Raw genomic sequence first — 11,110 nt, forward strand, 5'->3', positions numbered from 1 at the left:
CAATTAGAAACTTCTGTTTTTCAAGAGCTACTGTTAAGAAAGCAAACAGGGGGCCGGGTGCGGTGGCTCAAGCCTGTAATCCCAGCACTTTGGGAGGCCGAGGCGGGCAGATCACGAGGTCAGGAGATCGAGACCATCTTGGCTAACACGCTGAAACCCTGTCTCTACTAAAAATACAAAAAATTAGCCGGCGTGGTGGTGGGCGCCTGTAGTCCCAGCTACTTGGGAGGCTGAGGCAGGAGAATGGCGTGAACCTGGGAGGTGGAGCTTGCAGTGAGCCGAGATCGTGCCAGTGCACTCCAGCCTGGGCGACAGAGCGAGACTCCATCTCAAAAAAAAAAAAAAAAAAAAAAGGCAAACAGGGAAGCCCTAGACTTGGAGACAATATTTGTTACACATGTATCTGACCAAGGGTTTGTATCCATAATACATAAATAATTATTTTTTAAAATAAAGAATTCTTACCAGTCAGGAAGTGAAATTTTAAAAATTGGGTAAAATATCTGAACAGAAATTTCACAAAACGAGATATAGAAGTTGCCAATAAGCACTTATTATTCTCCAGGAAAATGAAAATTAACATAATGAAATAATACTGCACAGTGATTAGAATGATTAAAATGAAAATGACTGGTGAAATGTTGTGATTGGTAGATCTTAGATGACCCCTAAGTGTTCTCACATTTTCACGTAAATGCTCTTGCGTAAACTCCTACTCTTGAATAACTTCCTTCTAATCAATAGAATACGGCAATGGGGAAGCAATACAACTTTCAAGTTGTGAGGAGAAGGGCTTATACCATTGTAGTCTTTGTATTAGTTGCCTAGGGCTGCCATAACAAATGATCACAAACTAGGTCATTTGAAATAACAGGAATGTATGTTCTCACGGTTCTGGAGGCGAGAAGCCTAAAATCCCAGTGTCGCAGGGCCCCGCACCCCCTGAAGGCCCTAGGGGAGAAACCTTCCTTGCCTCTCCCAGCTTCGGTGGTTGCTGGTCACTCTTGATGCCCCCTGGCTTACAGCAGCATCATCCAATCCTGGTGTCTGCCATCATATGATGTTCCCCCTTTTGGGGATGTGTATATGGCTAAATTTTCCTCTACTTATAAGAACACCATTTTTTGAATTTAGAGTCTACTCTAATTCAGTGTGACCTCATCTTAACTGACAACAAAGACCCTGCCAGGACCCTATTTGTGAGTAAAGATCCAACTCACAGGTTCCAGTTGAATGTGAATTTTGCTAGGATTCTATTCAGCCTGTTAGAATCTCCTTTCAATAAACCTATGATCCCAGTTTAATAATGAGAAAAACATCAGGCAAACTAAAACTGAGGGACATTCCACAAAATATGTCACCAGTACTCCTCCAAACTGCTAAAATTGTGAAAAACAAGACAAAATAAATAAATAAATAAATAAAAATAAAAAATAAAAAAGCTGTCACAGTTCAGAGGAAGGAAAGAAAACATAATGACTAAATATAGTATGGTAACCTGGTTCGAATCCTGGTACAGAGAAAAAGGATATTAGTGGGGAAATTGACAGACTCTCAATAAACCCTGGAGTTTAGCTGATAGTAAGTTTTTAAAGTGTTTGATAGGGAGCCGCAGTGGCTCAGGCCTGTTGTCTTGGGACATAAGGAGGAGAGGCTAGGCGTTTGAGGCCAGCCTGGGCAATATAGAAACCTCTCATCTATATAACCAAAAGTTTTTGATAAATATATTATGGGTATGGTGAGGGTTATATGGGAACAATCTTATTCTTTCTTTTAAACACATCTAAAATGATTCCAAAAGAAATGACTTATTTTTTTAAATGCAAGCTATAGGATAGACTTGAGAAATTTAATTTAGATTGGACAGTTTCAGACAGCTTTTTTGTGAGAAGTTTGAGCTGCAAATAGAAATACAAATCCAGCCAATCCTACCAGTAGTGGGGGATGAAGTCTCCTGGGCAGAACACATGGCCAGTGAACAGGTACTGTGAGTGAAATATGCTTGCAGTATTGGAGAGGATGAAAAAAACTCAGAGTGACAGAAGACAAGTAGGTGAGACGGAGCCTGGCATAAAATTAAACTGAGCAGCAGGCTTCAAACAGGCCACATAAAAAATTAGAATTAAAAAGAAAGAAAGAAAGAAAGACATTGCTATAGCACTTCCTATGTGCCAAAACTATTTTAAGCATTTTTCACACACTAGCACTTTTCATTCTTGCCACAACTATATATGGTGTGTACTCTTATTATCTTCCATTTCTCTGGTAGAAAAACTGGTTCAGAGAGTTAGTCACTTGTCTGAAGTCATTCCATTACTAAAAGGCAGAGCTGTGGCCATCTGGCTCCACAGTTTGCATTTATCCACTACACCCTTGCCCTGAATATAATGGAAGCCATGCTGACTCATTCTTCCTTAAAAGACTGACCTATCAATTCAGAGGAGAGATGATGGTGATTGGGGTGAGATGGAGAGAAGCAGATGGGCTCGAGGAAACTTCCAGGTAAAATCAAATGCAACTGATGATATATTAGAGGCAGGTAATGAGAGAGAAGACCATATCAAGAATGACCACCCAACTTCTGGCTTGATTGGGTATTTACTAAAGTAGGAAATGGCAAAAGAAGATGTTTGCTGAGGGACATTATGTTGGCAGTGGCAAATCCATATGGGTCTGCAGCAACCTCAATTCTTGACTCTCAGAGGAAAGAATTTGACCAAGGGGGCATAAAGCAGAGGGGGAGACTGGAACAAGTTTTAGAGTAGGAATGAAAGTTTATTAACAAGTTTTAGAGTAGGAATGAAAGGAAGTAAAGCACACTTGGATGAGGGCCAAGCAGGCAACTTGAGAGAATCAAGTGCCTGGTTTGACCTTTGACTTGGGGTTTTATACACTGGCATTCTGCATGTGTGGTGGCATGCCAGCACTTAGGAGAGGCTGCATGTGCATTGTGTTTACTGAAGTTACCTGTATGCTCACTTGAGGTGTTCTCCCCTTACCAGTTGAGCATTCCTAGAGGAAGTTCACATACCAGTCAAACTCCACCATCTTGCCTCTTAGTGTACATGCTTGAGTCTGCTTGCCCAAATTCTGAGATCTTATCATCTTATCAAGAAGCTACTGATCATCAGTTTCAGGTGTTTTCTAGTGGGAGACTGCCTTTCTGTTGCACAGGTTGCAACCAATTATTATTTTGGAGAGAAAGTTTAACCAACCACCTGACCATCGCCTGATGGTCACCTGACATTCCTTGAAGCAGGGTGGGGAGTTGGGGGGGCTCTCTCTTGCCCAATAAAACTTATATTTGACAACCTACCTATTCTAACAATTACAGATTTCTTTTCCATTAAGTTTGAGATGCTAAAGAAACATCAAGATAGATGTGTCTCAAGCCCAAGTATTGGATCATTTTCACCCTACTTTCCCAACAGGAAGTAGAAGTAGGTGAGAAGTGTTGTCTGACTGCCCAGAGGATGGGAAGGCAGCCACAGTCCCATGGACAGGTGCTCAGACTGCTCTCCAGGTCACCACAAGTCACTGTCTCTGGTAGCTCCTCAGGTGTATTCTCTGAGAGCTCTGTCTATAGTGGATATAGTGAATTCTTTGCCTTGAGGCTGGGTTGCTTTTTCTCTCTGACTAGGTCACATCTCCCTTATTGTTTGGGATGCAGTTCCTCATGAATACATTGCAAGTATGTTGATTTATGCATGAGGTCCTCCTGTGCCCTATTTAGGAAAGAGCATCCCTTTCTTGGATGTAGGAGTAGAGAGAGGTTCCATATACATAAGAATTTTCCAGACAAACAGAACCAGGCCAGGTGCGGTGGCTCACACCTGTAATCCCAGCACTTTGGGAGGCTGAGGCGGGTGGATCATGAGGTCAGGAGATCGACACCATCCCGGCTAACACGGTGAAACCCCCACCCCGTCTCTACTAAAAATACCAAAAATTAGCTGGCCGTGGTGGTGGGCACCTGTAGTGCCAGCTACTCGGGAGGCTGAGGCAGGACAATGGCGTGAACCTGGGAGGCGGAGCTTGCAGTGAGCCGAGATTGCACCACTGCATTCCAGCCTGGGCGACAGAGCAGGACTCCGTCTCAAAAAACAAAAACAAAAACAAAAACCAACCAAAAAAAGCAGAACCGATAGGAGATAGATATGGATTGATAGATCACTAGATCGGTAGAGAATAGATCGTTGGGGCTGAGCGTGGTGGCTCACGCTTGTAATCTCAGCACTTTGGGAGGCTGAGGCAAGCAGATTACCTGAGGTCAGGAGTTCGAGACCAGCCTGGCCAACATGGTGAAACCCTGTCCCTACCAATAATACAAACATTTAGCTGGGCATGGTGGTGTGCCCCTGTAGTCCCAGTTACCTCAGGGAGGCAGGAGAATTGCTTGAACTCGGGAGGAGGTTGCTGCAGTGAGCCGAGATAAGCCACTGCACTCCAGCCTGGGTGACACTCCATCTCAAAAAAAAAAAAAAAAAAAATGTTGGACAGATAGATAGATTCATTTTAAAGAATTGACTCATGTAATTATGGAGGCTGAGATGTTCTAAAATCTGCCATCTGAAAGCAGGAAACTCAGAAAAGCTGGTGCAATTGTCTGATCTTGAAAACCAGGGAAGACTATGGCGTAAATCCCAGTCTGATGGCAGAAGATGACATGACCTGTCTTAGTTAAAGCTGTGAGGGAGGAAAAAAGGGATAAAGGTCTCTTTTCTCTGTCTTTTGTTCTATTCAGGCCCTCAAAGGATTGGATGACGCCCAACTGCATTGAGGAAGGCATTCTACTTTACTGAATTTACTCATTCTAATGCTAATCTCAAAGGTGGCTGGTTCTCAGGATGGGAGGGGAAATGATGGGGAAAGAGAAAATATTGATAAAAGGGTATAAAGTTAGAATTAGTGTGGAGGAATGAGTTTTAGTGATTGATTGCACTGCATGGTGACCACAATTAATTTAATAATATATTGTATATTTTTAAATTGCTGAAAGAATAGATTTTTAATGTTCTCAACACAAAAAAGTTAAATTGGTGAGGTTATGGACATGTTAATTAGCTTCATTGACTCTATAATGTATATGTAGATCAAAACATTACTTTGTGTCCCATAATATACACAATTATTATTTGTCAATTAAAACAACAACCACAATAACAAATGCTAATCTCACCTGGAAACATCCTCACAGACATACCCAGAAACAATGTGTACTCTGGGCACCCTTTGGCCAGTCAAGTTAACACATAAAATTAACCTTCACAGGTTCAGAGTTGCTTAATCAGGTCCTCCCATTAGACACAAGGCCATTATTAAACTGTGATGCAGGCAACCCATGTGCAGAGAGCCAGGGAATGAGACCATTTGTTGTCAGCTGTGCGCTCAACCTATTTTCACTCTGAAGGGGGAAGTCAGAACACATAGTGAACTGCCTGACTTCCCTTCCTCTTTACTCTGGAATCAGAGAGAATTTGTTTCTCATTCCTTAATGCCTGGGACTTCACTGTACCTTATGTTCTTTTCTTCAAAGCTCATAACCCTCATCCCTTCTCTCTGGGTTACTGAATGCTGAAATATCTTTAGGAGAACATGAATTACTGGGAGAATGAAAATACACATCTCTAAAAATACAGTTTAGGCTGGGCGCGGTGGTTCACACCTGTAATCCCAGCACTTTGGGAATCCGAAGCAGGTGGATCACCTGAGGTCAGGAGTTCAAGAACAGCCTGGCCAATGTGGTGAAACCCCGTCTCTACTAAAAATACAAAAATTAGCTGGACATGGTGGTGGGCGCTTGTAATCCTAGCTACTCAGGAGGCTGAGGCAGGAAAATCACTTGAACCCAGGAGGTGGAGTTTGCAGTGAGCCGAGATCGTGCCATTTCACTCCAGCCTGGGCAACAAGAGCAAAACTCAATCTCAAAAAACAAACAACAAACAAACAAACAAACAAACAAAATTAAAAAAAGTTTAATTATTTCAAAATAATTTTTTCATTGCACTGATTATTCACAAATGAGTTTTCATTATCATACCTTCATACTCAGCAGGAATTTAGATGTTATATTAGAAAGATGGTTTCTAGCCATTGTTACTACTGCTCAATTTTAGGTACAAATTAGAAAATTGGATGAGTCTTTTAACTTCCCAAATGAGAGAATGTTTAAAGGAGTCCAGTGAATTTAGAGAGTGGATGTACTTGAGTAAAAAGGTCTGTAGTTTACAGACTGAAGATGAGATGAAACAAATGGTATATATCTTGGGATATTGAGAAGTTAAATTTATTCAACACAACTTTTTGATGTTTGACGATTGCTATATTTAACTCAGCATCCCACTGTGCTTTGATTGAGATACCCTGTAAGAACTGCTGTTTCAAACCATAAAATACAAATATAAAATTTATTTTGTTAGTTTGTGAAACTTCAAATCATGCGTTGAATTTCTGTAATTTGATATGTTTTCAGATTTCTCTGTCAATAAGGTATCCTAGAAATCTCTACAGACAGACTGATTCAATCTTGGCTTATTCAACACAAATTATATTTTATTTCTATTGAATTATGTTTTACACCCAAACAGTAGGATATAAGGCACCTTTGTAAATAATCTCCTAAATTCTGTTTTCATGAATCTATTAAAATCTGACAAACTTCCTGAGATCAACATTCACGGGTGTCTGCCTATCCTCTAGTTTTGCATTATTTTCATTATGTTTTTTGGCTTCAGCCTCCTTCCTCATTTTTAGTAAAAAAGAAATCTTCCTTAGGCTCATCATGCTACATTATCTTTTTTGAGGAAAGAAAACTATATTTATTTTACTGAGGAGACAAATAGAAGCTAGTGAAGTAATTTGTTTACAGTCATAGGTTTTTCATGCTAGGAATATTATTTCTTAGTTCCTCTGGTAAGTAAATTCCATTATTCTTTCTTCGTCAAGTTTTTCTAAATCTAAAACAACTCTCATGCTCCTTTACCTTCCTTTTAAAAAATATTTTTAATTTTTAATTTTTGTGGGTACATACTAAGTGTATATATTTATGGGGTATGTTAGATATTTTGATACAGGAATACAATGCATAATAATCACATCAGGATAAACAGGGAATTCATTACCTCTACCATTTATTCTTTCTTTGTGTTACAAACAATACAATTGTACTCTTAGAGTTATTTAAAATATACAATAAATTATTGTTAACTGTAGTCACTCTGTTATGCTATCAAATACTAGGTCTTATTCATTCGTTCTAACTATATTTTTTTCTAACTATATTTTTGCACCCATTAACCATCTCCACTTCCCCCCACCATTACCCTTCCCTGCCTCTGATAAACAGCCTTCCTATCACCATGTGTTCTATTATTTTAGTGTTTAGCTCTCACAGATAAGTGAGACCATGTGATGTTTCTCTTTCTGTGCCTGGCTTATTTTATTTAACATAATGATCTCCAGTTCCATCCATGTTGTTGCAAATGACATTCTTTGTTATGGCTGACTAGTACTCCATTGTGTATGTTACCACATTTTCTTTATCCATTCCTCTGTTCATGGACGCTTAGGGTTACTTCCAAATGGAGGCTATTGTGAATAGTGCCACAATAAAATGGGAATGCAGACTTTTGGGGGTATATGAGTGGGATTGCTGAATCATATGGTAGTTCTATTTTTAGAGTTTGAGGAACCTTCAAACTGTTCTGCAAAGTGGTTGTACTAATTTACACATTCACCAACAGTGTAGGCAGGTTCCCTTTCCTCTATATCCTCACCAGCATTCGTTATTGCCTGTCTTTTGGATAAAAGCCATGTTAACTGGCGTGAGATGATATTTCATTATAGTTTCAATTTGCATTTCTCTAATAATCAGTGACATTGAGCACATTTTCATATACCTGTTTGCCATTTATATATCCTCTTTGGAGTAATATCTATTTAGGTATTTTGCCTATGTTTTAATTGGATTATTAGATTTTTTTCTATAGAGTTGTTTGAGAGCTATATGTGTGTGTATATATATATCCTTGTATATATTAATATATATATATATCCTTGTATATATTAATACAACGTTATTAATCCCTTGTCAGATAGATTGTTTGCAAATATTTTCTCCGATTCTGTTAATTGTCTCTTCACTTTGTTGACTGTTTCCTTTGCTGTGCAGAAGCTTTCAAATGATGTTATTTCATTTGTTCATTTTTGCTTTGGTTGTGTGTGCTTGTGAAACATTACTCAAGAAATCTTTGTCCAGTCTGACATCTTGGAGAGTTTCCCCAATGGTCTCTTTTACTAGTTTCAGAGTTTGAGGTGTTAGACTTATTCTTTAACCCATTTTGATTTAATGTTTCTATATGACAAGAGATACGGGTTTAGTTTCAGTCTTTTGCATATGGATATCCAGTTTTCCCAGCATGATTTATTGAAGAGACTGTCCTTTTCCCAATGTATATTCTTGGCAACTTTGTTAAAAATGGTCTCACTGTAGACCTGTGGATTTGTTTCTGGGTTCTCTATTCTGTTCCATCAGTCTATGTCTCGGTTTTGTACCAGTACCATGCTGGTTTGTTTACTATAGTTCTGTAGTATAATTTGAGGTCAGGTATGTGATTCATCCAGTTTTGTTCTTTTTGCTCACAATAGCTTTGACTATTCTGGGTCTGTTGTGGTTTTGTATAAATTTTAGGATTAGTTTTCCTATTTTTGTGAAGAATGTCATTGGTATTTTAATATGGATTGCATTCAAACTGTAGATTGCTTTGAGTAGTATGAAAATTCTAACAATGTTGATTCTTCTGATCCATAAATATGGAATATCTTTCCATGTTGTGTGTCCTCTTCAATTTCTTTCATCAGTGTTTTACAGTTTTCATTGTAGATGTCTTTTGTCAGTTAACTCTTAGATATTTAATTTTATTTACAGCTATTTAAATGTGATTACTTTCTTGATATCTTCTTCAGATTGTTCACTGTTAGCATATAGAAATGCTACTAATTTTTGTATGTTGATTTTGTATCCTGCAACTTTACTACATTTGTTCTAATAGTTTTTTGGTAGGGTCTTTAGGTTTTTTCAAATATAAGATCATATCATCTGTAAACAAAGATAATATGACTTATTGTCTTCCAATTTGGATGCCTTTCATTTCTTTCTCTTGTCTGATTACTGTAGCAAAGGCATTCAGTCTATGTTGCATAACAGTGGTGAAAGTGGGCATCCTTGTTGTGCTCCAGATCTTAGAAAGAAGGCTTTTAGTTTTTCCTCATTCAGCATGATACTAGCTGTGGTTCTGTCGTATATGGCTTTTACTGTGTTCAGGTATATTCCTTCTATAACCAGGTTTTTGTGGGTTATTATCACGAAGGGATGTTAAATTTTATCAAATGGTTTCTCAGCCTTCAGTTGAAATGACTGTATGATTTTTGTCCTTCATTCTATTGATATGGTGTATCACATTGATTTATTTGTGTATGTTGGATCATCTGCATCCCTGGGATAACTCCCATTTGGTCAAGATGTGTTTTTAATTGTTTTGTGGAATTTAGTTTGCTAGCATGAGAATATTTGCATCAATCTTCATCAGGGATATTGGTATATAGTTTTCTTTTTTGGATATGTCTTTGGTTTTGTTATCAGGTAATACTGGCCTCGTAGACTGAGTTTGGAAGTATTTCCTCCTCTATTTTTCAGAATAGTTTGCATAAGGTTGGTATTAGTCCTTCTCTAAATGTTTGGCAGAATTTAACAGTGAAACCATTGGGTCCTGGGCTTTTCTTTGCTGGGAGACTTTTTATCACACTTTCAATCTCATTATTTGTTATTGGTCTGTTTGGGTTATTGATTTTTTTCATGCTTCAATCTTGATTAGTTTTATGTGTCCAGGAAATTATCAATTTCTTCCAGGATTTCTAATTTATTGGTACACAGTTGCTCATAGTAGCCACTAATGATCCTCTGAATGGTTGTAATATTTCATTTTTCATCTCTGATCTTATTTACTTGGGTCTTCTCTATTTTTTTTATTATTTAATGGCAAAAACCACAATTACTTTTGCACCAGCCTAATAGTCTGGCTACAGGTTTGTCAAGTTTGTTTATCTTTTCAAAAAAGCAACTTATCTGTTCCTTGATCTTTTGTATTGCTTTCTTCATTCCAGTTTCATTTATTTCTGCTCTGATTTTTATTATTTATTTTCTTCTTCTACCAGTTTAGGTTTTGGTTTGCTCTTGCTTTCCTGATTCTTTAAGATCCATCATTAGGTGGTTTATTTGAAGTTTTTCTACTTTTTCGGTATATGCACGTATAGCTATAAACTTCCCACTTCGTACTGCTTTTGCTGTATCCCATAGGTTTCCATTATCACTTGGTTCAAAATTTTTTTAAATTTCTGCTTAATTTCTTCATTGATTCAGTAGTCATTCAGGGGCATATTGTTTAATTCCCATGTGTTTGCATAGTTTCCAAAATTCCTCTTGTTATTGATTTCTAGTTGTATTCCTTTGTGGTCAGAGAAGATACTTGATATAATTTTAATTTCTTTTGAATTTGTAAAGATTTTTATGTGGCTTAATGTATAGTTTACCCTTGAGAATGACCCATGTGCTGAGGAGAACAATGTGTATTCTGTAGCCATTGGATGAAATGTTTTATAAATATCTATCAGTTCCATTTGATCTGTAGTGCAGATTAAGTCCAATGTTTCTTGGTTGATTTTCTGGGTCATCTGTCTCATGCTGAAAATGGGATGTTGAAGTCTCTAGCCATTATTGGATTGGAGTCTATCTCCTTAGCTCAAATAATATTTGTGTTATATACCTGGTTGTTTTATCCTCTTGTTGAATTGAACCCTTTATTATAATATAATGACCTTTTTGTCTCTTTTTATGTTTTGTCTTGAAATCTATTTTGTCTGATACAAGTATACTACTCCTACTTTTTTCTGGTTTCCATTGACATGGACTATCTTTTTCCATCCCTTTATTTTTAGTCTATGTGTATCTTTATAGCTGAAGTGTGTTTCTTGCATGCAACAGATTGTTGAGTCTTGTTTTTTATTCATTTAGCCACCTATCTTTTGATTCTGGAGTTTAATTCACTTACTCTCA

The 11,110-nt window shown here is 37.7% G+C and overlaps 1 annotated feature.

The window, feature by feature from the left end:
* Positions 4,621-4,915: a silencer, noted in NCBI's record as "tiled region #1238; HepG2 Repressive non-DNase unmatched - State 24:Quies". NCBI's record gives its function as "represses a minimal TATA promoter and a strong SV40 promoter by Sharpr-MPRA in HepG2 cells {active_cell/tissue: HepG2}" and the evidence as "EXISTENCE:reporter gene assay evidence [ECO:0000049][PMID:27701403]".

This window comes from Homo sapiens, chromosome 5 (assembly GCF_000001405.40).
Source record: "Homo sapiens chromosome 5, GRCh38.p14 Primary Assembly".
NCBI classification, from domain to species: Eukaryota; Metazoa; Chordata; class Mammalia; order Primates; family Hominidae; genus Homo; species Homo sapiens.